The following is a 26,406-nucleotide window of genomic DNA, read 5'->3' on the forward strand; positions in this document are numbered from 1 at the left end:
TTAGCCAAGTGTTCTGGCTACCTGGGAAGCTGAGGCAGGAGAATCACTTGAGCCCAGTAGTTCCAAGGCTGCAGTGATCATACCACTGCATTCTAGCCTGGATGACAGAGCCAGATCCTATTTCTTAAAAAAGAAAGAGAAAGAGAAAAAAGAAAAGGAACATTGAATAAGATGGTATCTGAGGTCCCTTTTAGCCCTGCATTTTTTCATCTGGGAGTTCTTCCTGCCTTTTCTACTCTGTTACCTGCCAGTAACCCCTGCTCCCAGCCCCCTGGCTCACAGGAAACATAGTTAGCTTTGTCCCGTTCAAGCTGGCCTGGGATGCAATGAGGCACCATTACCTAGAGGCTACAAAAATGAAAACCCAGCTCACTGCTGGCAAGGGATGTGGGGCTGGGCAGTAACCTGTCCTGGAGCAAGACTTGGGCAGAGAGCATGAGTCTCACCTAGGTGCACTCCCAGCCTCTAATCTGGATGCCTTTGTCCTTTGTTCTACTTCTGTTTGCTCTGCATGGCATTTGCCTTGGTGGCTCTGTTTGCTCAGGTGGCCCTCAAGGTGGGTTTGCAGTGCTCTCTTTGGGATTTGTCCCATTCCACTTCCTTAGGCCAGAAGCTTTAGACTCAAAAGCTCCAATCCCTGAGAAGCAACCATGGGGGAAACACTACTTTTTGGTGCTGACCCCTCTCCGCAGCACCCCTGCTAGGAGGCTCTTCCACTGGTACAGCTGATACATGGATGTGGGCTCAGCATCTTATATGACTGGCATGACCTTGGGCCAGCTCCTTAGCTTCTCTGATCCTCTATTTCCTTATTTCTAACATGAAGATAACCACACCTTTCTCATAAAGTTGCAGTGAGGCATAGAAATAACACAGATAAAGTACCTTGAAATGATGTTCTCTCTTACCTTCTAGTGCCAGCTGCACCCAGAGGCTTCAAAGGCCACAGACATAAACCCTTAACTTTCCTGACCTCTTGCCTTTGAGTTTCAGGACTGCCCTGCTGGGGAAGTGCTGAGACAACCTTGGAGGAGCTCCTCCCCCCAGCCCACCGCCCCTCCTTCCCCAGGGGGCAGAAATACCTAGTTTCAGCCCTAATAATACCTGAATGAGATTTATAGGACACCTTCCTCCCCAGAGTGCAAAGCTTCTCACATATTATTTCTCTTATCTTTAGATTGTCCTGTGAAGTGAAGTATGATCGGACAGCCTCTTTTCAGCTTTTATGACAATGGAGACAGAGGAATTGTGGCTCTTGCCAAGGTCACAGGATTGGAATACAGAGCCAAGCCACCCCAGGACATGCAAGAGCCTCAGAAGGGAAAAAAGCCCAGCAGGAAGGGAGAACAAGTAGCCTCTGTCCTGAAGTTGTAACAGCCAGGGGCCAGGATGGAGGAGGAGGACCCCATAATCTGCCCATCTGGGACTTGGCAGGGGACCTGGGAAAATGTACCCCAACCCATCCCTTAAGGGCCTTTGTCTTTGGCCCATTGGCCTAGCATCTACTTCTTCACCGTGTCTGTTCTTGTCACACCTAGTCAGGTCTGTTTGGGTCTGAGGTGCATGGAACATTCTGGGTAGGCCTCCAGCAAACGGAAGCTCTTCACCGTGTTTCCAGCCTGGGACCAAGGGCAGCATACTGGCAAAGTTGCCAAAGCAAGGGACTCCAGCCTCTTAGGAGTTAATGACTCCCTCTCCCCAGCTGTCCTCCCCTTGGTGCTCCTCTTCCTCCCTCCTCCTGCTCACAGCAGGCAGGGCCTAGACCCGGGAGCCATGCTGCTGTGCTGTTGCCAGGGGAGCACGGAGGCAGATCTGAGCTATGCAGGGAAAAGGCCCAGCCTGTCAAAGTGTCTGAGATGAACCGCCGCCGTCCCTGTGCAGCTGGGCTCAGACGTGTCTCAGCTCTTGTTCTGTGCCTGAGAATGGCGAAACCCAGTGAGGTTCAAGGGCAAACTCGCTATTCATTAGTCAGGGGTTCTTGACGTCCCGTCTCTCCCAGGGATGAGTTCCCCCCTCCTCTTTCTCCCCCTCCTATGACACATTCCTGGGTGCCTTTGGTGAGGACTGCACACCCTCCTCCTGCCTAGCCCCCTCTCCAAAGGCCCCTGAATAAACTCCCCCCAAGGAGACCAGGCAGGGCAGAGACAATGGCTGCAGGAAATCATTCAGGCGGGACATGCTGGCCTGCCCTCCACCCAGTCCCCCTGTGGGCCCCACTCCCTTCTGATTCAGGGCACCCTTGGGCCCCCAGCCTATACAGGCCTGGACAGGAAGAAACCACTGGGAACCACCCTAAGGACAACATGCTAGTCCAGTGCCATTCTTCGCTGGCTCTGTGGGTGCCTTTGTGGCCTGTACCGACTGGCTGGCTAATTTTGTGGTTTCTGTACCATCACATGCCTATTTTAAGACACTCTCCAGCACTGTCGGTTAGGGAGTGTAAATTTTGCAATATTTTCTGAAATGTGGCAATATCAAAATGTAAAAGGCACACATACTTGGTCACAAACAAATGGCACTATTTACTCTGTGGGCATATTTGTAAAAGTTGCCAAAGAATTATATACAAGGATGTTCATCAGAGCATTTCTTTTGAAGAGTAAAGAAATGGACATGAACCTGTGGTCCGTTCATACGGTGGAATACCTATGCAGCTGTAAAAATCAGTGTGGTAGATCTCCGTATATGAGTTGATGTGGAAGGTTGGCCAGTTCACATGATAAGGTGAATAGAATAAGTTACAGAACAGGCTGTAGAGTATGATCTTATTTGTAGATGTTTAAAACTGAGTCATAAGTATGCTTATATACAGATCGTTTCTGGAAGTATGTACTGGAAGTCTACCTCTGGGGAGTGGGGATGGGGGAGTGCACTCTTCTATACTGTTATATTTTCTTTTCATGCTCCTAAGGTACTTTTATTGGAAGATGTAAAGCGGTTCAATGTAATAGGCTTAACTTCTGTCAACTAAGTTGGCGTGGGTGCTTTAAGAGGGTGGTAGTGATGTTGCTGGAGAAAGTATCCCACAGTCACTGGTGGCTTCAGCCACGGGCCATTTTGGGGCCTAATAATCACATATCATCATGGTTGCTAGTGTTAATCGAAAACCTACTAAGTGCCAGGCTTACTGTCTCTGGGTCTTGCTTACGTGGATGTCATTTTTCCAGTTGCACCAAATCGAAAGAGGTTAATTGGTTTGTTGGAGTTCCTTTGTAGGTGAAGGGCAGAGCCAGGAGCTTGGCTAGGGACAGGGGAGGTGAGTGGGGGATGGTGGATAGGTCTTGGCTCCCAGTTTCCTTCTGGGCAGACATTGCCCCTCTGCCCTGAGGACCTGCTTGTTTGGGGGAAGAGGCCTTTAGAGGCACCAGGGTCATGCCAGGTGTTGGACATGGTGAACTGGGAAGTGCTCCCATCTGGCCACAGCGCAGAAGTATCACCGTGCTGGGGGATGGGGAACAGGGCTGTGAATGGGCCTATTTGCATAAGCAGCATGTGTCTGGAGAGAAAGACATCACAGAGCAGAAGAGTGCGGGTGCCCAGGAGTGCACTTGCCACCCCTACTTCATCCCTGAAAGAGTAAATGGCCTGGAAGGTGTCTCTGAGAGGTAATGCCGCACACCACCCTCCCTGGGGGCAGGGTCAGGCTACACCTGCCTTAGGTCGGGGGCTGCAGCAGCCTGAGAGCTCTCAGTAGGGCCTCAGTAGCCTGGGAGGGAGCAGGGGCAGGGGGCAGGGAAAGAGGCGTAATGGGGCTGTCCAGAGGGGCCTGGGAAACCTGGTCCCTGAGGCCTGGGCACAGCTACAATCACTTCAAATTGGCTGTGGGGCCAGTGGACTGGGAAGGAAAAAAGCAATAAGAGTGACCAAGTGCAGAAGGCTGTCAGGTCCCAGGTCACATGCCTTAGTGCAGTGACTCCTCATCATTTTATGGGGTGTGGGTGTCGTTGGTACACCCATTTTACAGATGAGGACACCGAGGCCCAGAAAAGTTAAGTTACATGTCCTAAGTCACACAGCTTGTAAGTGCCAGAACTGAGATCAAAACCAAGTCTCTTTGACTTTAAAGTCTGTACTCTGACCCCAAAGAGATCCTGTTTGGCCACTTATAGGAGGTCCCTAAAGCTGCAGACTCCCCTTGCCGGCACCCACATATAGAGACATTAACCCTTCCCCTGCAGGGTCACCTCAAATAGTCTTTTAGCTGGGCTTCTCCTGCAATTCCACCTAATGCCATCCCCTGGGTTTTGCCCAAACCTGAACTGGGCAGTGGGGTGAGAGGAGGGGTTTACAGGGTTACAGAGCCTCATACAGATAGGAGCCCATGGCTGCTGGTCATCTGCATTCCTGCAGGATTGGCTGTTCCTTGGGGTCCTTGGCAGGAAAATGAGGATTGCTCCGAGGCCTGCTCCAGTACTTCCCAGAGGCTGGCCTGGTGTGGGGCTCTGGGAAGGCTGAGGCTGGAGAAGCGTAAGTAGGAGGGCAGAGATGGCACTCAGGTAGCTTGAATCACCAGGACCCTTCCAAGCCCCACAGGTTCTGAGGGAGTACTAGGGCCAGCTCTGGGAGAGGTCTCTTCCTATGCTGTGAACCCCCTGCCTTTCTTGCAGCCTACAACGAATAAATTTTCTTTGCAAAGGCTTCCGTGTCTCTGGTCAGTTTTTCTAGGAGGACATGAGTGAGGAAAGTAGCACTCCGCCACCAGCAAAAACAACTGCTTGTGTCTTGCGGTGTGGTGGGGACACTGGTATGGGTGCAAAGGATGGAGCAAGAAGTCTTACAAGGCTGGGAAAGTCTGTCTTCTTGACCTGAGCTAGGGTCATTTGGGCAAGAAGTGAAGGTCATGGCCAGTGCAAGGCCTACCTTGCCTTGAGGGTGCCCTGCCCTCAGGAGAGGGGTCCTGGAGGTTCTGGATTGGGAGCTAGCCCCCACGCTCCTTCTCAACCTCCATCAGTGTCTTCTCATGTAATTCTCACAATGACCCCATAAGACTGAATTCTGTCTTATAGACTAGGAAACAGAGGCTCAGAGAGACTTAAGAAATAGGCAAAGCCACACAGCTGGGAAGCAGTGGAGTCGGCCTCCAGATCTCATCTCTGTGACCAGAATGGGATGCAGGGGGTGGTGAGTCTCTTGAAAGCCGCTGATAAGTTTTTTCATGTATGAGCAAATTCACAACCCTGCTTTCATCACAGCATTCATTCTCACAAGGCCTTTGGACTGCAGAGAATAATCAGGACTTACTGTGCCAGCCACTATTCTAAGTGCTAGTTTGTGTATTAAATCGTGGCTTAATCCTCACATCTGTGTGCATAACTGGGCACTATCCTTATTCCTATTTAACCAAGAACGAGAGTGAGGCCAAGTTGGCCATCCAAAGTGGCCCGTGTGGCTCCGTGTGTGGTGGGGGAGGGGGGATTGCAGCCAGGATGCCAGCACAGTCACGTTTGTCTGTCCAGATGCCAGGCACTTAACTGCACACACTACCTCCCTAAAGGCCCCATCAACCTAGCCCGGGCCCACGACCCCAAATGAAACATCTTTCACTCGCCCCCCAGCAGCCCGGGCCGCGTTTGACCACTAGTAGGGCAGAACCACTGACCGGCAGGCGGCGCTCCCCGGGGCTCCCGGCTCGAGCCCCAGGGCACCGGGAGGAGTAAGGACCCCGAGCGGGAGGGAGACGACTGGGGGGCGCGCGGCACAAAGAGCTTTTTATTCAAATTTGTTTAGAGTTTCGCGAATTTGCATGAAAAATGTGTGAGAAAAGCCAGCTCCGGTGACCTCATCCGCACCTGCCATTAACGTTCAATTAGCGGCTGAATAGCGGCCGCCGACGCGACGTGCAGAGAATCCGGCCTGCCCCGCGCAGCGAGGGCGGCGGGCCAGGCCCGGGATAGGGTGGGACCGAGGGAGGGGGACGCGGCGTAGGGCCCCGGCCTACTCCTCTGGCCCGGAGACCCAGGACCTCGTCCGCACTCCAACTCTCCGAGGGAACGCGGGGATCTCAGGACTCACGAGCCCAAGATTGTTTGGAGCGCGCCGGGAGCCTTAGGATGCCTGGCTCCCTCTGGGCGCAGAAAAGGGCGGGCTTGCCTCCTCCCCAGGACGGAAGGTGGCCGGAAGAGCCCCGTCCCAGCTCAGATGGGCTTCCCCGCCATCTTCCGGACAAAGTGTCAAGTACAAGTTCAAGTTCAGGGCCAGGCCCGGGGGGGGGCGCTGAGCCTTACCCGGCCGCCTTTGTTCTCTGGCATAATCGCTCCCACGTCCCCCTCCCGGGCGGGGCCCAGCAGAGACCCCCGCCCCGCCCCGCCCCGCCGCGCCCCGCAGGAGCCTCCTCCTCCCGCCGGCGCGGCGCCTGTGCCCTGGTCCCGGTGTCCCCGCTCGGTGCCACCGAAGGATCTAGGGGCTCGGGCCGGGGAGGGGGTGGAGGGGGGAGTGGAGGCGCGATACGAACCCGTGGGAGCCTCCCCAACCCCGCAGTCCCAGCGGCAAACTGTGCTTGGTCGGACGGATGCCCGCGCGGAGGTAAGAGCCCTTTGCGGGATTCGCCCGTATCCCTGTGCCCCGCCCCCCGCCTGGGACTACGCGGGCCCCAAGGAGCGGGGCGGAGGATGGTGTGCTGAAAACCGGCTGGGCAGCCCCGCTGGGCCTCCGGTGGGGTGGGGGGCGCACTGTCGCTCCAGGGCTCTGGGGAGTACGAGGCCTGGGCGGTGGGTATGGAGGGCAAGTGCGCCCAGCCGAGGCCCAGTAAGATCGCCGGCCTTTCCCAAAGGCGTTTGGCTCACCCATCTCTCCTCGGCTAGCCTCTTGGTCTCCCCTTCTGTGTTTCTGGCTCTGGCTCTTCCTTGGCTCCTCTCAGATTTTGGCTGGAGGGGATCCTAGTTAGAATCTAGCTCAGCCAGGTCCTGAGGCCCCTCGTGAAGAGCCGGAGATGTGTGTGTGGCTCAGCTGTTAGGGGAATCAGCTGTGCCCACTCACTCCCCCATCCCATTCCCAGAGCCTAAAATAAAGTCCTGGGCCAAATGGTGGTTGCTGGGGCGGAGTGGGCTGGGCTGGGCAGTGACTTAGTGGCAGTGCAGGGGCCATACGAGTTCTTTTGTGTGTGTGTGTGCGGGGGGACCTCTTGCTGTCCCTGCTTGCCTAGTTCCTGGATTCCGTGCGGTGACAGGTGTTAGCTTGTACCTAGCTCATACCTCACCCAGTGCACTGCCAAGTTGAAAGGGCACGGGGGCTTCTTCTGAGTGGCCCAAATCTTGTCCCCTATACCTGCCTTTCACTCTCAGGTGCTTGCTTTGAGGTCATTTATGTACCCATGCTTTACATACTCTTCTAACAACCACAATATTTGGCTTCTAAATTCACAGCAAGTTAGAAGTAACAAATTAGAAGGGGGAAGAAGGCCTTTTCCCTGCAGCTGTACTGCTCCCATTGTGCGTTCCTTCCCCTCTTCTCTGTGTTGTCCTGGGATTTCTCACTTCTGGGATTTTACTCATGCTGAATTGCCAGCCTACTTGAGTACATTCCTTCCCAACTCCAATTGGCCAAACTTTGTCCAGTGCCTCCTCCTCCAGGAGGCCTACCCAGATTTTCTCCACATCTCTCCCTCCCTTGACACCTTCAGCAGAGGGTCAGCTGCACATCTGAGTACTTAGTAAATACTCAGTAAATGAAGTCATTTCTGGATGAATGAATAAAAAAATCATACATACACATAAATCTAACAAGCACTGAGATGGTCGAATTTTTGTTTTTAATATTGATTTAAATATAACAGCTCCCAGGGGCTCCTCTCCTCTGTTCCATCACATATGAAGTCTCTCACTTGCAAGCAAGAACCAGCCTGAAAACGTTGGTTTTGTGTGCTCTGTTAAAAAAAGAAAGAAAAATTCTATGCAAATTGCTTTAAAATTTAAAAAAGAAGAAGAAATGCCAGAAGGGATCCCCTCAGCCTCTGTGCAGCTCTGCTCTTCATCTGACGGGGCCCCCAGAGGGCTTAGAGGAGCTAAGGTTTCATGAACTGCACATGACTTGGGACCCCTTTGCAAGGTCTCCGTGGAGCCACCAGAAACTTGACTAAAAATGGAGACTGACCTACCTAGTGCGTGTGTTTAGATTCCCGATGATTCATCACTGACACGCTGATGTCAGAGGAGCCTGGGAAGATGTTTACATCTTTTTAAAAAAGGGAAAGCGAAACGTTTTTCTGCAAAACCGTCTGTAAAACCATCTGTAAAGGCTGCTCTAGACTCTTCCTCTTCCTCCTGGGCACTTCTGGCCTGAGCTCTCGGACAAACCACTATTTTTCTCCTGTAGGTTCCCTAATTTGGATGGGTAAAATGAGGACATTTAAGGCAGCCACAGTTGGCAAGCGGTGGTATAAATACTACTCTGCAGTAGACTGAGAGAACAATAATTTATTTATATATTAACTCATTTAGTCCTCCCAACTAAAGGAGATGGCTCCCTTTTATAAAAGAGGAAACTGGTATGAAGAGGTTAAGTAACTTGCCTTCAGTCTCACATCCCGAAGAAGGTCCAGTAGGCTTTATACTTGGCAGGAAGGGTTAGACTCACTGTGCTTTACTATACTACTGACTTTGTAGCTTTGCTCCTAAGGTAGTGGCTAAATGCCTCCTCTCCCAAGTCACATTTCATGTGGATTTCCTTGCTTTCCTTATCACCCAGAGACAGAAAGGAGTCAGGGGTTGGGGGACAGTGAACAGCTTCCTTTGGAGTCTTTCATTCAAATTCTGGCTCTCTCCCTTACGTACCATGTGACTTGTGTCAAATCTCCATATCCTCATCTGTAAAATGGATTTGCAAATTGATCTCATCTCATGGACTTGTGAGGATGAAAGAAGATGCTAGGTTTGGCCCAGGGCCAGAGTCATAAATGTATCCTTGAATGACAGCCATTATTATTACCAGCAATCACCTCTAATGACAATTTACTGTCACTATGCATTTTCAGAAAACAGTGCCCCTCCCCACTCAGAAAAGAAAAAACAACACCGATACATCTCCACGTGCTTTAAGTGCCCGGGGTGCCAGGACTGTGGAATGATAGCAGCTTCATTCTGTACGCAAATAATTCAAACTCCCAGTAGGTCTTGTGGACCCCCGATGTCTTAAATACAGACCCTTGAAACCTTGTCTCTCCTGGGCTCTCAGCACTTAGGAAGGTGTGAGTGTGTGGGTGGGGGGAGGGTTGAAAGGCCCTGTGGCTAATTGAGAGAATTAGAGACCAAGATGACTCTTAAGGAGAGAAATCTGAAGCATGTTCTTTTTCACTTTCTTAGCCATAAACTCTATTACCTATTGATGAGGAAAATAAATTAAGACTAGACCGTGCTATGGAAGTATAATAGATCTAGTCAGTGGAATGCTTCTGCCTCCTTTCAAGTAATTTATATTTATTTTATTTATTCAGTGCTTATTCTGTGCCAGCCATTGTTTTAGGCACTGGGTATACAGCAGAGAACAAAACAGAAAAGCCCCTGCCCTCAGGGAGCTGACGTGTGTGTGTGTGTGTGTGTGTGTGTGTGTGTGTGTGTGTGTGTGTGTAAGGAGAACAAAAACATCAGAAATTCTGTGCTGTACCTGCCTCTGACAGGATTCCTCATGAGTGGGACTGGTCAGCTTGGTCTCCCTCACTCTCTCACCCCTTAAAGCCAAGGACACGTGTTTTCACACAGCTGTCTCCACTTGGGGGTATTATTAAGGAAAGAGACAGAGACAGGCTCAATTTCTCTCTATATCCAAAAATAAGTAACAGGCTGAGGTAAAAAGGTTACTCAGGCAAGGTACCCATCAAGCAGGCAATACACCGGTGCCTGCCTTCTTCATCCCATTCCTGACCAGATGCTAGATCCAGGCAAGGCTGAAATCCTGGCAGTGGAACAGGGGCAGAAATGGTGACAGTCCATGGCAGAAACCAAGAGGACTGGGAAGGGACAAGGCTGTATCCAGGGGTGTGGGCAAATCATATTAATAGCTAGCCTGTGCCAGTTAATCCTCACCAGGACCTCTGATTTAGAGATGAGGAAACTGAGGCACAGAGAGACTGAGTAAAGTGACCCAAGGCCACACAGCTATTCACTGGCAGATCGGGGGCAGATTTGAACCCAGGGAGCTGGCTCCAGGGTCTATGTGCCTTATCCCACTATCAAACTGTTTATTTAGGGACCAAATTTCAGAAAGAAATGTGTACTTCTCTTGGGTAAAACTCATTCTCCAAGTGTCCTTAGAAGTCAGCAGGGGGTTCTTCCGTAGCCACCCTCCCTCACACTTCTTAGAGGCCCAGGTTAGAGATGTTAGGAACCTTCTTTTACAAGCCCCCTCACTTGGCAGTTGAGGAAACAAGCAGATGGAGAAGGACTTGCTGGAGGCCATTATCAAAGTGGACACTAGAATCGCGATCTCTTAGCAGAGCTCACACTGGGGCTGCATGTCAAGGTCTTGGGGAGAAGAGCTGCTTACCTTACTGGAGCCTCTTCAAGGGCCTAGCCACTTCTACTACCAGCAGAGTAAAACAGCTGCCTACTCTGTAAAGAAGTCCCAGATAGTTTCTAAAGGCCTTAGTGGACTCGAGGTACCATGGTGTCCAATTAGCCAATGGGCCTTATATCTGGTCCTTGGAGAACTGTCCTTGTCCTTCTGGAGCACTGCCCATGCTCTGGGCATATCCTTGGTAGCATATGGTTTCCTGCCAATTTAGGGAGCTTTTCTCCATCCCGGAGCCAGGGGCCATGGAAGCCATGTTTGTTGCCCTCCCCACTCTTGGTATGTGCCTTGCACAGAAGTGGGGACTGAATGACGGTGGCGTTCAATTGAATGTCTTCACCTCTTGGTGCCAAGTCAGGTCCCCATACTATCCCACAAGGCTGCCTGAAAGATGCCCCCATCCTCCTTGGAATTGTGGGGGGAGGGTCAAGGACCACCACCCTGGACTTGGAATCAGAATGCCAGGAGGAATCCTGGCTCTACCTCTCCTTGCTAGGAGATCTCCAGGTAACCCAGATCCATTCTTTGAGTTTCTATTTCCTGAAGGAAGCTGACAGTGTCTCCTTGGGAGGCCTGGCAAGTGGGGGATTATAGGAGATGCTGTGTGTGAAGGTGCTTTGCAAAGGGTGAGGTGGGTGGGAGATCCTGCTTACCCAATCACATGCTTACCTAATCCCTGCCTTGTTTGGTCCTGGGTCAGAGGAACCTTAGTCCTTTCATCACAAACCAAGAGAGAGGATGGAGGATTAGGGGAAAGGGGGCAGGGGTGGGCTTCCTCTGAGTTTCCCCAAAGAGGCTCCATCTTGAAGGTTACCACTGTCCTACCCCATGGAGGGGGTTGCTGCAGTGAGGAGGGAGCTGGGGTGGGAAGTGAGCCTCAGGAAGAGCCAGCCTGCACCACACCCTGTGAGTCAAGGAGTTATCTTCTAGCCTGGTGGTTTCTGGTTAGAATTTGACATTAGTAGCACCAGCTTTACATCAGTCACTGGACTGGCAATGAAGAGAATGCCAGGTTAATGAAATGTTCTTGACTTTCCTGCCTGGACATAGAGGTTCTATCACCAAACAGAAAGATAAGGCATTTGTGATATAGTAGCTGGAGTAACCAAAACTCTTTGGAGGTTCCTGTTCGAACGCACCCCAAAACCACATAAAAATTTTCATGGGTGGAAAGGGTTCTGCCCTTGGTGGTTCTGGAGTCAGATTTGGGTGCGTTTGGTCTGATTTACCCAGCAGTGCCCGCCCAGGGCTCCTGCTTGGCAGGTCTCATGGCCTAACTCACTAGACTGCCTGAGGGGGACCCGAGGTCAGTGGGGTTTAGCCAGAGTGAAATACACAAATCAGAAGGCGGGAGGTGCCCGCGCGGGCCCGGAATGTATGTGCTCAAATGCCTCTGTAGGGTATGGTTTCCTGCCAGTTTGGGGAGCCTTTTCTCCATTTGAGAAAAAACAAACTTACAGCGAGGGGTGAGGGGTTAGGGTTTGGGATTGGGGAAAATGTGGGTGGGGAGCCCCCCCAAGGAAGTGAGGAGGGGGCTGCAAGGATTACACCTGGGCATACGTTTCCCTAGAAATCACATTCATTGTATTTTTATAATTTATTCTAAATCTTTCATGCGAAGAAAGTCAGTAGTGAGTGTTAGTACTGGTGGCCCTCCTGATCACACTTGCATCTCTTGAGTGTGCCTTAAAGGTCTTGGGAATGGAAAATATAAAAACTGCTTCGTGATGCGTCATCTTTATCCCCCACTCCCCCACCCATTCCAATATATTTTCTACTTCCAGCCTAAATTCGGGGCCCCCTACCGAGGCCGGCCATGATCTTGAGGGCGGCATAGGGGAGGCCGCGCTCTGTCCACCCCAGCCTGGTGATGCCGTTCGCTTCTTGTGCCCGGTATTGTGGGCTACATGCCTTTCCGGCGTACGGAGCTGAGCGTCCAGGCCAGTGCCCCTCAACCTCTCAGTAATGTTTACCCGAGGCCGTCGTGCAATGAGACTATTCGCATGGCATTGTCAACGCGGCGGCGCGCGCGTCTCGGCCCTCCGCGGCTTGCCAGACTGTCCTGCAAACCACCTCACCCGTCTCTTTGGCGCAGGAGACTCAGGCTGTAACCGGAGAAAACACTTCACCCTGGAACCCTAACTCAGGTCCTGGCAAAAGATGCGAGAGGAAGACTTGCTCTCTTAATAAATCTCGGCCGCCCGCACATCTGGCCCCTAGACCTGCTCGGTAGAGGACTGGCTGGTGGATGCGCGGTCCAGGCCGTGGGCACTCGACCCACCTCTATTTTCCTTCCCGAGGCGCCCCTGGATTACCACTTTCGGTTTGCGCTTACATCCGGGATGTCGAATTTCCCAGGGAATCATAATTATTTTATCTATAATTTATTCTAACCCCAAGGTTCCAAGAAAATCTGTAATGAACGTTAATATCTACAGCCTCCTGGTCAATCTGCATCGGGCGAGAGAGCCGTCGGGTTCTTCGCAGTGGGTGACTTCAGGTCCCTGTGCCTTGTTTCCTATCACTCTGAAAGAATTTTCTCCCCAAAGGAAATCCAACTTGTTTGAAACAGGTTTCTCCTCTCTGACTTTCTGCACTGGAGAAAAATCTGGATCTGCTTTTCGAAAAGATTTTTTTTTTTTAAGAGGCATCCGGGCAGGCCTGAGGAGTCGGGCTGAAGGTGCGCCAGCCATTATTGCCTCAGACCTCCGGACGCTACGTACCCCAAGCACCTGAGCTACTAGTGGTATATCAGACAAGATTTCTGGGAGCAGCCCCAGGAGTCCCTCCGCCCGCTCCCAGTCCGCAAGCGCAGAGGATCCTGCGCTCTGTCCCCCAAGGTCTTGGCGTTTGCTGAGCTCTCTCCGCGCGCGTCGAGGAGAGGCCGCCTCTCGTGAGCAAAAGCTGGGAGTTGTTAGAGATTCCGCAGCCGCTCTGAGGGCGAGATCGGGTTTGTCCCACGACCTCGGCGCCAGGAAGCTGTAGAAAGAGACAGACCCCAATTTTCTCCCCTTGGAGTTGAAACAAAACCTGAAAGCCCGAGGTTGCCCGCACCGCCAGAGGTGGCGCCTAGGCGGCGGGGGCGACCAGAGCCGCGTGCCCGCGCGGTTCCCAGGCCTGGGTTCTGTTTCTTCCTATTTTAGTTAGTTACTTAGCCGGTTAGCTAATAGACAGCTCACAGGCAGCATTTATGCAAACGCCAAGCCTGGACCCACGCTGAGTCTCCGCGGCCGCCAGACCTATAGTTGCCCGGCTGGGCTCCCAGAGGAGTGAAGAAGGGAAATTCCTAGTAATTAAAGGGGAGGTTTTCCCGGGGCGCCCCTTGGTGAAGTGGCCTTGGCTTCCAGTGAGGAACAAAGGACTAAGGTGCCTGCGCGCAGCGCGCCCTCGGGGCCCGGCGCGACCAGCTTTCACGCCTCTCCCAGCTCCCACGCCTCTCCCAGCTCCACGGCGGCCGCGGGCTTTGTGAGCTGGGGCCGCGCGCCGCGCTGCACCTGCCCGGATTTAAGTACCTTGGCGAGGCAGCGCAGGCGGCTGTTCTAATCGCCGTCTCCAAGTACCTGCTCATGAATAAACACCAACCCCATTTATCAGGTACTTAGCGCTCATTGTGAAGGGGAAATTGGCCCTTTTCTGAAATTGTCTATCCACAACCCATCTGCGCAGTTCTGGTTGCAGAATTCCCCTCACCCTTGAGACACACACACACACACACACACACACACACACACACACACACACTCGCAACACGAGGCTCCTCCAAGCTAAGATAAACTCGCTTTTCTTCCGGTAAGTGCGCGATTGAGCCGCGACAATAGGCGGCGAGGAGGAGGCCGTTGGGTCAATAGCCTGCGTCTCTCCCATTGATAGGAAAAGTCAGTGCGCGGAATGCAGGGCCTTAGGAAAGCCCTGTCCGGCGTTCCAGCCACAGGGGTCACACTTGCATCAACATGCGGGCACGCTGCCCCTTGGGTACCCCAAACATTGAGCAAAATATTGGAAAGGTGGACCGAGGTGTCTGTGGTGCCTGCCAGCATTGGTCGGGTGGGCCCCAGCTGTACCCTGGGTTCCCCTACTTTCCCCCAGTTGGGCCCCACATCTGGGTCTGGCTCTTAAGTCTTGGGCATATGGGATAGAGAATTTAAGGATCCAGATACTTTGCAATCCCCGGGCTAGTAGGAGGAAAAGTGGCTCCTCTGGGAACCCGGATGGGCCGAACAGCAGCTTCCGGCAGAGGCCCTCAGGTTTCAGAGTTCTCCAAGTGGGGAGAAGGGCGGCCTGCTCAGCCCGCGCACCCGTGGCAGCACCACAGAGGGAATAAAAGCAGGGTAAACAATTTGAAGATCCCCACGAAGGCAAGAGAGTAAATTTACAAACTCATTTGCGTCCGGAATACTTGCTTCTTTTTCACTCATACATTCCTTCTAAAATGTGGGCTTTCTGTGTACATGGGCGCGCATTCCCAGGACTCGGTTCCCTGGGTGGAATTCACCCAGGAATACAATCGATTTTCTGAACCTGCGTAAGGCCACAGGCAGCTCTGAAAATGAAAGCGTTTGCTAAGTGGGGGAGATCTCACCGATCGAACGTTTAAAAATGGCTTTGTCTTCATTCAGCTCTCCCGATTTATTCTGTGTTTTACAAATAGAAGCTCAGAGCTTCTGTCGCCCAGTCCTTGCATGACTCATGGCGGTGGCCACACGGGTTTCAGGGATAACGGGATGTTTAGAAAATCGCTGCATATCGGAGTTTCCTAGCACGTTCCATTTATACTGAACGCAGGCGGCCGCTGAAAATCCAGCCTCGACTCTTGCTAATGACTGGGTAGGACCCTCGGGGTCCTGCGACGGTGCTGGAGGGTGTTCCCGGCTCCGATGTGGGGAGGCCTGCGCGGGGACTAGGTTCTCGAGAGGCGAGCGGGCGCGCCAGAGAACCCGAGACTGCTGCGGGGCCGGATGCGGGATCCCTGGGCTGCGGTTCTACGCAGAAACGCCAATGGCCATGCCTCCCCAGCTCCTCCCAGCCCCAGTCACTAGGCCGGCGCCTGGCCCGGAGATCCTCCCAGAGCCCTGGCGGTGCCATCATGCCGGAGAAGACAAGCTCGGCCCCGCTGGAATTCGCTCCAAACACAGATGCTCATTTTTGGAATATTCTAGAAAAATAACAAGATCTTGTTTGTCGTTATGATTCACGGGAGGTAACTGATGGGAGGGCCATTTACATGAGGGCAGACACTGTGGGGCGAAGGTGACTTCTGGACGTAGGCTTTAAAGTAGGAACGGCTCCAAATTCCCAATATCTCCGGCCTTACCGGTTGCAAATCGGACCCCTGCGGGAAAACCAGACACTTCTGTTTCGTGGCTTTCGGGCTGCCTCCAGCCCACGCAGGCTCGTTTAGTCCCCGTGGAGTCAGCCCCGAGCCTTCCTAGTCCTGGAACAAGGGCTCCAGGTCGCGGCCGCGGGAAGCCGCCAAGAGGGCGGGGAGTAGGGATTCCCTCCAGCTCCGCAGGGCATCTCACAAGCGCCTTCTTCTGCGCCATCTCCCCACCTCCAGGTGCAGGGGATGAGCTTCCCCAGGTGAAGCTTAATTTTATGTGGTGAAAATTCTGGAATTCGAATTCGTTGCTCTTGTGTGTTTGTGTTAAATGCCTTGATGGCGTAGGTGTGTGCGCGCCCTCACAAATTTATGGAATTTATGGGCGGTGAGCGCGGCCGGAAAAGGTTTGGGGGACAAGTAAGAGAGGGCGCCTGCACGCTCTCTCCAGGCCCGGGACTGGCCCCCAAGGCACGGCTGGAGCAGAGCGTGGTGGAAGTGGTAAAGGCTTCAACTCGACTCCCTCTCTCTTAGGAGACCTCATTTCACCCTTCTCAGCCACGCCCTTCGTTCACATTCTTGCGTCCCTTGGGGTCCCAAGCAGATCCCCCACAGAAGACCAAGGAGAAGTGGAATTGAATCAGGGCAGAGCAGGGCTCCCCCAGGGCCGGTTCCCTGACTGGCATGGTGCAGCCAGGCCCGAGGCCTGGGACAGCCGTTTCGGAAACCCTGGGGTCGAGGCCCTCCAGACTGGACTCAGGCCGCAGGAAAGAGCATAAGCCCAGCCCTCTCACATAGTGTGGCTTGTCCTCAAACCTCCCACCTCCCCAAATCTCCCCACTACAGCTCACCCTCACTAATCACCCCCCTTCATCTTGGTTCTTTTGAAGGGGTAGCCACGGGAGTGCCTCCGCCCATGACAGCAGTGTGCAGGAAGCTGACCTGGAGCTGGGAAGCCGGGAGAAGGCACGTGGGGTTCCACCTAGATAAACCCCAAAAAGACAGCTCCAGTGAGGGACTAGCAAACCTGAGACCAGGTAGGGAGCAGCGTGTCCGCAGGGGCAAGGATGGAGCACCAAGTGCCAGAGCCTGAGATTTGGGCTCTCACATCCCTCCTTGGGAGTACTTGTGGCCCCTGGATAGTCATCACGTGCAAGCCTCGGACCCCTTGGAGGGGTTAGGGAGGGATCTGTGGTCCCCCTCTCATGTCGGCTACTGAAACCCCTGGGTTCCTTGAAACAATCTAGCCTACACCAGGAGCGTCCATCTTAAAGCTGGTGGCTTTTGGTTCCCCAGGACCCTGCTTAACTCCCATGACGTCAGATCACCACTTAGAGCGTCTTGATGCCCAGGCTAGAAGGATCTCGGTTGCACCAGCTTTCCCCACTGCAGTTTCAGGTTTTGTCCCGACAGACTTTCAGCAAGCGGCTTAGCTCAGCCCTGGCGCTGCCTTCCAGGAAAGAGGGGCAGCAGCAGCCTCGGCTGAGCCGGGTGCCCTTGTGGGCTATCTGGTGGGGGCTCGCGGGTCCTTGCCTTCTCTGCCTGGGGTAGGTGGGAGGTAGGTTCTTGAACTTCCCGGGGCTTCTCCCTGGCACACTTTGGCTGCCACATCACGGATGGAAACGCTGAGGCCAATGGGCTCAGGTTCGCTAGCAGCAGGCAGCCGGCCCTGGTGTGCCCGCTGTGGCCTGGGTGCTCTGCATACCCCCGCGCGCGCTTGCTCTGTGTGGGGGGCTGGCAGATAGGGGTGTTCCTAGGGGCCACGCGGGGGGAAGGGGGTGGCGGGGCCGGTCTTGCGCTTCCCACGCTCCATCTGTTCAGTTCACTCTGGTGGTCTCTGTTCCAGTCTGGCCTAGGGATCCCTGGCTCCCCACGGCCAAGCCGAGAACTAGCGGGCGCAGGTTGCATTGTGCAGACTCCCGGGGTCAGGTCGCAGGGTCACGTGCACGCGTCGGGCCTCCTCCGGGCGCTCCTATTCCAGATCCGCCGACAGAGGGCGCCGGGGGCCCGAGAGGAGCATGTTCGGGCGCCTCTCCCGGGTCCCTGGCGCCACGCTGTGGGGCTTGGTGGTTCAGAGCCACACCTGACACCCTCACGTCCCAAACCGGGATAGTCGCACCGACAAAAATCACAGGAAGGAGCGCGCAGTTGACTGTGGGCGGGCGGGACGGCGGAGCCACTTACAGCGGGACCTGCGAGGGTGTGGGTACGGGACTCCCCAACGGACCCTCTAGTTTGTAACCGTGCGAACACTGGAGGGATTCATTATGTGCACCGTGGAGGCGCGGACATCCACCTGAGTGTGCAGAAGCAGGGGAGGGACACAAGAGATAGTCCCTGAGACTGGCTCCAACCAATTTCTGAGCTGGAAGGGTTTTCTAGAACGTTAGTCCAAACACCCTCTTTAATAGCAGGAAACTGAGGCCCTGAGAGGGCAACGACTTATCCAAGGTCCTGCAGCACTTAAAAACAGGGCTGACTCAACTAGCGCTGGGGAAGGGCGGCCCCTCCGCTGCCCTCTAAGCCTCAGTTTCCTCCGTTGTGAAACATTGCAGTTGTACTAGGTCGTGGTTCTGGAGGTATGCCTGAAGGGGTGTGCAGGAGTCTGCATGGGTATGCACATATGTGTTGGTGCACGTGTTGGTGCATGTGTGTGTTGGAGGCAGCCTATGGCCGTCTGAGAAGGGCTATGTCTCCATGCGTGGGTGCCTGTAAAGAGCTCCGTGGGTGCCTGTGTGTATTTGTGTGTATTTGCCCTTGAAGGAGTAGATGTGTATTTGCCCTTGAAGAAGCATATTGTGTACAGATGTATTTGTGCCTATCTAAGTGTGTGTTTGTGAAGGGATGTGTTGTGAGGAGTTGTGTGAAGAGTAAAGGGATATTTGTGTCTGTGAATTGTGTACATGTGCTTAAAGGGGTAATTGTGGATTGTAAATAATTGTACGCTGGAAAAGGGCCTGGCACTCCCCATCCACTGGAACCCCACCGCCTGCCTTTACTGCTCCTTCACGTGTGCCCTGGAGCCCATTCTCATTCTGGACCCCACAGAAAGGGGCAAGGGGATGAGAGGGCTGAGGGACACAGGCTCTGGGGTGTGGCTCTGCCCCAATGCCCAGCAGGCTCTAACAGGCTGTGATTAGGCAAAGCTTCTCCTGGGCTGCAGAGGGAGAGAGAGAGAGAGAGAGAGAGAGAGAGAGAGAGAGAGAGAGAGAGAGAACGAGAGAAGAAGGAGGATTACGGCAAATTCATTTCTATTTTCCAGCCCAGTAAGCCTGCAGTGTGTCCCTGGTGTTAGCATGAGAATGGGCTAGGGCTCTGTGAACACCCCCCGCCCCCGACCTACTGACCCCTCTTCCCCCCTGACATGAATAGTGGGACTCACAGCCTCCCCAGCCTCTCCAACTAGTGCCTGCAAAGCCACGGCTCCTAATCAGGGTAATTTAATATATTTTAAGCCCCCGGCGGCTTTATTTTCCCTCCTTTTCGAGTTTGTTTTAGGCATTCACAGCTCTCACCCCGTCATTAGACGGCCTTATTTGACGGATGGAAGGAGCTGCTATGAGACCACAGCCCTTTGTGTCCCCCACATAAGCTGGGCTTCCCCGTAATTAGAATGGTATTCCCAGCCATTGAGGCTTTTCATGAGGCAGAACAAAAACTCCCCGAGATGAATATCCCCCAACTCCCAGCCCCCTGGCCAGGAAAGGGGCTGTGAGTTAAAGGGACTCCTTGGGGAAGGCAGTCCAGAGCAAGGACAGCCAGGGTCCTACCAGGGTGAGGAATTTAGGGGCCATGGGAAGTGGGCACCAGACAAAGGCTGGTGGCTGGTCAAAGTTGCTGGTAAACACCAGTCACCTATACATACTCCACCCAGCACTCAGCCAGCGTCAGGATGTACTGGGCTCATCAGAGGACCTTCATATTCTATGGGGTCTTGGGGTATGGAACCAGGCTGGAATGTGCATGTAAAACACAAACACACACGGTCACACTAGTCACTCACATGCAGGCTTGAGATTACATTGTAAACACACATATATACACATACATGTACACATGCATGCTCAGCCACAAGATTACAACGTCACTAAACTAGGTTAGGAAATACTTGTAAATATACACACATCACACACATGTTACCCAGACAGAACCAGACTGCAGTTTGTCTTTATATCTGTGCACACACACACACACACACACACACACACGGCCAGCCACTCAGATTGCTTGTGAACACACACACACTCCTGCATACTCATATACATACATACACCCTTAGGGTCATCCAGACCCCAGTTTTTCTGGGGGCATTCACCAGCCTGTGCACACTGTGGCGCACCACCCCTCCTCCCCAGGATATAGACTTGCTTCTGGCCGCATTCCTAGGTCCATGCTCAGCCTATGTGCAAGTAGTTTGACATGCACACACATGCATGGATGCATGCCCATCCTCTGGCTCACACTGACATGTGAAAACTCAGGAAAATACTATAGAACCAACATGACATTACAGTGTTTCCATATTTTCTGGCCAGCCTCTCCCAGACACTCATTACCAGACATGCAAGGGAGTTTTGAGGATAAGCCCCCACTCAGCTACACACTGTGCTATGAACTCAGCCCCCAAGTGGGCTGGGTTCTCTGGGGCTCAGTTGGGTCTCCTGTGTCCTTTGGGGAGAAGAGATCTCCCTTTTCAAGATTGGACCATGCTCCAAGGACAGAAGCCAGGTGTCTGGCTGTCTGGTACAATCAGTAGCTTTTTTCAGGATTCAGGAAAGGCTCAGAGGGTGATAACTAGGTCTGGGAGTCTGCAGACAGGAGAACTCACCTGCTAACTGACGCACAGGGATGCAGTCCCATGGAGAAATAGCTAGTGCCTCATCTCTAGGAGGATTCCAATAGGGGCAGCATGATAGCCAAGCAGAGATGTTGTGGGATAATTCATTTATTTAGTTCAGCTCCTACTCTCTATCAGACCCTGTGCCCAGTGCTTGGAATACAGTGGTGAGTAACATACAAGCCTGTCTTCAAAGGATCTTAGAGTCTTAAATGGGAAAGCTAGACACACACAGTTAATAGATAGGCCTGGGCCAGGGGACAGAGATAAGGCTGGGGCAGAGAGGAAAGTGATGTAATGGGTCTCTAGTTTCCACAATGGAATGTTGGTATCAGGGACTGAAGTGGATCGCTTAACATCCTGTGCCCAAGGCACAGTTGTGGCACCTTGGAAGTTTTTTTTTTTGTTGTTGTTGTTGTTTTTTTTGAGACAGTCTCGCTCTATCGCCCAGGATGGAGTTCAGTGGCATGATCTCGGCTCACTGCAACCTCTGCCTCCCAGGCTCAAACAATTCTTGTGCCTCAGCCTCCCAAGTACCTGGGATTACAGGTGTGTGCCACCACACCTGGCTAATTTTTGTATTTTTTAGTAGAGATGGGGTTTTGCCATGTTGGCCAGGCTGGTCTTGAACTCCTGGTCTCAAGTGATCTGCCTGCTTCAGCATCTCAAACTGCTGGGATTATAGGCGTGAGCCACCGCATCTGGCCCTGCATCTTGCAAGTCTTTGAGCTGGATAAGTGATGCATTAGCTGGCCTCTAAGGGCTCTCTCCATTCTAAAATTCTTGTACTCCTGGTCTAGATCCATGGCTTTCTCACCGTGGCCCCCTTCCCAAGGTGGGTGGTCTCACCCTAACTCACTCTGCACAGTGTACCTTTACCATGGCACTTATCACCTCCACCAAAGTTGCGCCCAGGCTCTTAGTGAGGGGAGTGGCTGGACCCATTCAGGGTCTCTGGGAACAAAGGAGAGGCTCATAAAGAGTGTGATTAATTCAGTTTGCTGGGGCGGGGTGGGAAGAGTGTCCAAAAGAGGTAGGTTAGGCTTCTTCATGCTCCTGACTTCTTAGGAGTGAAGAACAGTCCACTGAGTCTTATGGAGCCTCATTCTCTTCTATTCTGGAAGGAAGTACAGCTTTGAAGTGATGGGGTGGGGACCTCAGACTGGTAGTTGTTTGCATACTTTTTTTTTAACCTTACATCTTGTTCAATACGTGGGGCAACCAATATGTTGGGCAACCAGGAGATATAATATTACTCTTATATCTGCTGGGGGCCCAAGCAAATGCATACCCAGAAAATGACCAGAAAACCTCAACATCTCTCTCTAGGTAAAACGTGTGTCTGTTTCTCTTCGTAGGACAAATTTCACAGTGTGAATTAGAGAACAAGGGATGCTTTGAAGCCACTTGTGATGTCTTTTATATATATATATATATATATATATGTATATATTTTAATTTTACCATGGCGTTCCATGGTGTAATGTAATGGTTAGGAGCCAGGGATCCGGAGACATCCCGGTTCAAAGCCTGTTCCCCTCTTTGAGAGAGCTTGGCCACATCTTTTTGGGCCTGGGTGTCTTCAACTGCAAAGTGGGAATAATAATAATACCACCCTGCTAGGGTTGTTGTGAGGATTAAATGAGCTGATACATGTAAAAGAGCCCAACAATGCCTTCCATGCAGTAAGTACTCAGCGTTCGCTGTGGTGATTAATATTAAAGTGAGTGCTCAGTAAATATTTGTTGGGTAAATGTGTGCATTTTTCATTTTGTTTGCATTCAGGATAAAGTTGTGGGAAAATAAGATCTTCCTGATAGCCTCTGCCCGGTAACTGGCAGGAGGCGGAGATGGGGTGGAAGGTGGGCTGAGAGTCTCCAGTAGTTAAAAAAAATAAGCGTTCGGAGAGGATGGGGCCTCAGGTCGTTACTGCGGTCTCCAGCAGGGGGAGCCCAGGTAGTCATCACTTGCCGGCTCCAGACCTCAAGGAGGGAGGGAATTACCCTTGACCGAGCGCCTACTGTGTGCAGTGCCCCCGTCAGGCGCTGGGGGGCGCCGTGAAGTCAGGATGACTGGGAAGTGGGGGCTTGGAGAGGGCGCAGTGAGGTGCTTTTGAACCAACGCAGACCTACAGGGCCGACTTCCTGAGGGCGAATGTCGCTTTGCTGCAGCGGGGCACGGGTTTGGTTCCCGGCGGGGCCTGGCCTGGGAAGCGCGGGGCTGAGGGCGATGCCCGGCCGCTATCCCGAGTCGGTGCGTGCCTATGCTGCAGGAGGGCCACCAGGAGCTCTGCTTCTCCGCTGCACCCGGCTCGGAGCAGGCACTCAGTACAACTCACTTAGCGAAGTAAAGCTGCCTGGCGGGGACACTCCGGGCTGCAGGTGTGCGTACAAGGGGCCTCCTCATGGCAGTTTTGGGGTGGAAACAGTACCATCCCCCCGCACCCCACCCTTCCCCCATCCCTGCGGCTAGACCGGGAAGAGGTAAAGCCCGGAGACTCCACCTTGGCATGGGGCAGGGGTGCCACATGGGATCTGGCCTTGAACGGGACATTCCTCATTCTGCTTCCGGCAGCGCCAGGTTTTCTCGTCCACTACTCTGCGGTGGCGGGTCGGCAGCTGGAGGGACAGCTAATCTGGGGGCCCTGGTATGTGTTTATGTATATATGCATGCATCTATGTATGTATGGAGTAGTTTTCATAGATATTTTCAAATATCAGAGCTCCCGACAGTTCATCATAGCAGCTAATTGGAAAAAGGAGTTGCACCTCGGCTCAAAAGATGCCAGAATCAGAAAGATATTGAGGAGCAAATGATTGGAGACGGTTTTACCTTCGCCCCAGAGCAGGCGGGTTTGGCCCTGTAGGTAAGAGCGAGATCTGAAGAGGGTGGGGCCGGGGGCACATGCGCTCGGTTCCCTGCTGGCCCAAGTGGTCCCGGAACAGTGGCTGAACCAGCGGATCTAGTGAGGGAGCTGGCAGTCCCGCCGCCCCTGCCCACTCCTGGCCCGCGGCGTTTGGCCTGGCAGGCTCAGGAGCTTGGCTTCTGCCCTCCCAGACACTCTGCTCCTAGAGAAGTTGGGTTGGAGTCGTCGAGCTCCACATTTCCAACTGTGTGAACTCGGCCAAATCTTTTAACCTCTTGAACCCTTGGGAGCCAAAATACCAGCCCCTCAGTGGAGTGCGAGCAAGCGTCTTCAGGGAGACTGTAAACCTCTGTGGACGCCTGTCAAGACCGAGTGTTGAATGCCTTGCTGGATTTTTGTGTCGTTTAATCCTCATCTGAGGAGTCTTTCTCCCAGTTTTACGGATGGGGTAGTGGAAGTCTTGATGAAAGGGAGCAGATGCCCTTGTTCCTGGGGCAGCCAGCTAGAAGCCTCCTGTTGTTTCTCAGGCCCCTTTTAAAGTTCCTAAAATGGAGTGCTGGGACCCCAGGAGGGAGGAGAGGCACACAGGATAATTCTGGCTGAGAGCAGAGGTCTCCTTCACTTGGGGTCTTGATCTGAGGAACTGAAGTGGGAACCTGGTGAAGACAGGTCACCTTCAGGCCCTCACTTTTTGGGTGGCAGTATATTTGCCCAGTCCCCATCGGAGGTTGCGGGGGTCTAGAAAGATACAGGATATGGGCTGGTTGTGGGAGGGGAAGTCTCCCTTAATTCTATGAAGTCTCCTCAGGTATCCCTTTTCCAGGAAGGGCATTCATATTTTATCAACAGAGGGCCAATTATGGGGCATTGACCAGAGGTTTACTTTTGTTTCAGTGACTCCCAACAGCAGCTCCTTGGGAGGAGCTACTTCCCCCCATTTCACAGGGGCAGAACCTAAGGCCAGGAGCAGTGAAGTGAAAAGTGACTTACCCCAGGTCACATAATGAGGGAGCAAAAAGAGAAGGGGATGGGATTTGATTCTAGGTCTGGTCTGGCCTTGCCTTCACACCAAAAACCTAGTCCTGGCATCCCCCCCCCGCCCGACTTCTGCATCTGACTTATGATATCCCTTAGAGCGGGGTGGTTCTGAAGTTGGAGCCTGGCCCATTTAAGGGACATTTCCAGGACAAAGCTTGCCTAAGGATCAAGCCCCCACCTAGTGCAGGGAGGCTAGGTGGGCACAGGGTGCCCATGTGTACCTGGGCAATGGCAGACATGGTGGGTTTAGCACTGTGGAGCAGATGGCCATGACAGGGTGAGCTCCCACTGTGGTCTGGGGTATCCCTAAGGTCAAGGTCAGAGTCTTTGCTGCTCCCTTTCCCCTCTCATAGGGAAGCTGAGAGAAAGCTCCTCTTTGGGGTTCTGAAACCCAAAGGTCATTTCTGAGTGAGAAAGCTGAGACCCTTCCCATCTTCCCTGACCCTCCTGACAGCACCTTTAGGAGCCAGAATTGGCACAGCGAGGCTTCCCCAGGTGCAGACGCCAAGTGGCATCCCCCAACTCCTGGAAGAGGAATCCTGATGAGCTCCAGATTAAAAAATCAATCCAGTTCAAAAGTGATCAGGGGAAACTAGATTCAGTTAGAGAGGACAGAGCTACGAGGGCCAGGAGTAGAGGGCAGGCCTCTCACTACCCCATCCTAGAGAAACTCTGCCATTGGAGGGAGAAAATCTGCACTGGGTCTGGAATGATTTAACTGTCCAGCTCTCAGAGAAGCAACTTAGTTCTTCGGAGCTTTGTTAGCAGAGACACAACAGAGCAGTGCAGACTACCAGGAGCTGCGCAGAAACGCCCCTTCCCCCAACCTACTGCACATCTGGCATCTTTTAAAATTTTCCAAAGTCGGGGAAATAAACTCCGGTGTCTGTCACAGACGCTATTTTCAGAGGGTTTGCTTTGGGTCTCCCCTTCCACTGGTGACCCCTAAAATCCATAAGGGTCTGGCTTGGCGGTGGCGGCATCGTTATCTCCATTATGAAGGGTAGCAAACACAAGTTTTCAGAGAAAGGGCATTTGCCTTTTTCTTCTAGCCACCAGCCTCTGAGACAGCGCTGGACCCCAAGACTCTGCAGGATTCGCCTCAGTGCAGAGGCTCTGGATTCTCTGGCTCTGAGGCGAGATGGGAGCTGTCCTCCCAGTGGTGCTGAAACTCGGGCTGCCTCCGTTGGGGTCACCGACAGAGGCTCACTTGTTCAGGCACTTCCTGGGTCAGCCTTTCCGCCTCTGAGACGGGCTCTCCCATCTCAGATGGGAGATTCTGCCTGGAAGGGAAGTAGTCCACGCCATCATCATTCCCCGAAACCTTAATAGCCACCTAACTGGATTCACCACTTCTCGTCTTGCCTCCTCAATTCATTCTCCGCTCAGTACCCAGAGTGGTCTTTTCAAGAAGCAAATCTGATCCTATGTAAAGTACTCATATGGTTTTCCATATCATTCAGAATAAAACTTAAACGTTCTTGCTAGAGCTAAGATACCCCTCCCCCTCAATGATCTAGCCCCTGTCTGCTTCTTCCACATTAATCGCCTATCAGGATGGTGGTGATGGGTTAGAACTGGCCTAATTCTGATATATTTTGAAGATAGAACTGCTTACATTTGCTGAGACATTAGAGGGGTGTGTAGGAGAGAAATAGTGGAGTCAAGGATGACCCTGGGGGTTTGAGGTTGAGCACCTGGAAGGATGGAGTTTCTGTTTCCTGAACTGGGAAAGACTGAAGGAGGAGCAGAGTTTTGGGGATGGGGAGCTGAGGCTGTTTCTGAACAAGTTAAGTTTGAGAGATCTACTAGATAGCCAAGGGAGATAGTCTACTAGGCAACTGGACATAT

The 26,406-nt window shown here is 52.9% G+C and overlaps 2 long non-coding RNA genes across 42 annotated transcripts in view, besides 9 other annotated features; both read left to right on the forward strand.

Moving 5' to 3' along the window:
* The window catches only part of MIR9-3HG (MIR9-3 host gene), a 36,910-nt gene extending 32,272 nt beyond the window's left edge, over positions 1 to 4,638 (forward strand). For all 41 annotated transcript variants that reach the window (NR_133001.2, NR_190310.1, NR_190324.1 and 38 more), the window contains one exon: positions 1,178 to 4,638. This is a non-coding gene — a long non-coding RNA (MIR9-3 host gene). The remainder of the gene's footprint in view (positions 1 to 1,177) is intronic.
* Positions 6,238 to 6,727: a silencer, noted in NCBI's record as "silent region_6796". NCBI's record gives its function as "represses an Ori minimal core promoter by ATAC-STARR-seq in GM12878 lymphoblastoid cells {active_cell/tissue: GM12878}" and the evidence as "EXISTENCE:reporter gene assay evidence [ECO:0000049][PMID:35858748]".
* Positions 6,238 to 6,799: a biological region, named in NCBI's record as "H3K27ac-H3K4me1 hESC enhancer GRCh37_chr15:89943355-89943880".
* Positions 6,274 to 6,799: an enhancer, noted in NCBI's record as "H3K27ac-H3K4me1 hESC enhancer chr15:89943355-89943880 (GRCh37/hg19 assembly coordinates)". NCBI's record gives its function as "activates a minimal SCP1, AML or CMV promoter by ChIP-STARR-seq in primed H9 embryonic stem cells {active_cell/tissue: H9 hESC(primed)}" and the evidence as "EXISTENCE:reporter gene assay evidence [ECO:0000049][PMID:30033119]".
* LOC105371031 (uncharacterized) lies at positions 6,321 to 26,049 on the forward strand. The gene is made up of 3 exons (NR_160724.1): positions 6,321 to 6,522; positions 16,705 to 16,851; positions 25,608 to 26,049. It is a non-coding gene; the product is annotated as an uncharacterized LOC105371031 (long non-coding RNA).
* Positions 6,800 to 7,324: an enhancer, noted in NCBI's record as "H3K27ac-H3K4me1 hESC enhancer chr15:89943881-89944405 (GRCh37/hg19 assembly coordinates)". NCBI's record gives its function as "activates a minimal SCP1, AML or CMV promoter by ChIP-STARR-seq in primed H9 embryonic stem cells {active_cell/tissue: H9 hESC(primed)}" and the evidence as "EXISTENCE:reporter gene assay evidence [ECO:0000049][PMID:30033119]".
* Positions 8,054 to 8,293: an enhancer, noted in NCBI's record as "active region_10052". NCBI's record gives its function as "activates an Ori minimal core promoter by ATAC-STARR-seq in GM12878 lymphoblastoid cells {active_cell/tissue: GM12878}" and the evidence as "EXISTENCE:reporter gene assay evidence [ECO:0000049][PMID:35858748]".
* Positions 13,828 to 14,425: an enhancer, noted in NCBI's record as "NANOG-H3K4me1 hESC enhancer chr15:89950909-89951506 (GRCh37/hg19 assembly coordinates)". NCBI's record gives its function as "activates a minimal SCP1, AML or CMV promoter by ChIP-STARR-seq in naive and primed H9 embryonic stem cells {active_cell/tissue: H9 hESC(naive and primed)}" and the evidence as "EXISTENCE:reporter gene assay evidence [ECO:0000049][PMID:30033119]".
* Positions 22,376 to 22,885: an enhancer, noted in NCBI's record as "H3K27ac-H3K4me1 hESC enhancer chr15:89959457-89959966 (GRCh37/hg19 assembly coordinates)". NCBI's record gives its function as "activates a minimal SCP1, AML or CMV promoter by ChIP-STARR-seq in primed H9 embryonic stem cells {active_cell/tissue: H9 hESC(primed)}" and the evidence as "EXISTENCE:reporter gene assay evidence [ECO:0000049][PMID:30033119]".
* Positions 22,508 to 22,802: an enhancer, noted in NCBI's record as "tiled region #3595; K562 Activating DNase unmatched - State 12:CtcfO". NCBI's record gives its function as "activates a minimal TATA promoter and a strong SV40 promoter by Sharpr-MPRA in K562 cells {active_cell/tissue: K562}" and the evidence as "EXISTENCE:reporter gene assay evidence [ECO:0000049][PMID:27701403]".
* Positions 22,886 to 23,394: an enhancer, noted in NCBI's record as "H3K27ac-H3K4me1 hESC enhancer chr15:89959967-89960475 (GRCh37/hg19 assembly coordinates)". NCBI's record gives its function as "activates a minimal SCP1, AML or CMV promoter by ChIP-STARR-seq in primed H9 embryonic stem cells {active_cell/tissue: H9 hESC(primed)}" and the evidence as "EXISTENCE:reporter gene assay evidence [ECO:0000049][PMID:30033119]".
* Positions 26,050 to 26,406: the final 357 nt, after the last annotated feature.

The sequence above is a fragment of the Homo sapiens genome, chromosome 15 (assembly GCF_000001405.40).
Source record: "Homo sapiens chromosome 15, GRCh38.p14 Primary Assembly".
NCBI classification, from domain to species: domain Eukaryota; kingdom Metazoa; phylum Chordata; class Mammalia; order Primates; family Hominidae; genus Homo; species Homo sapiens.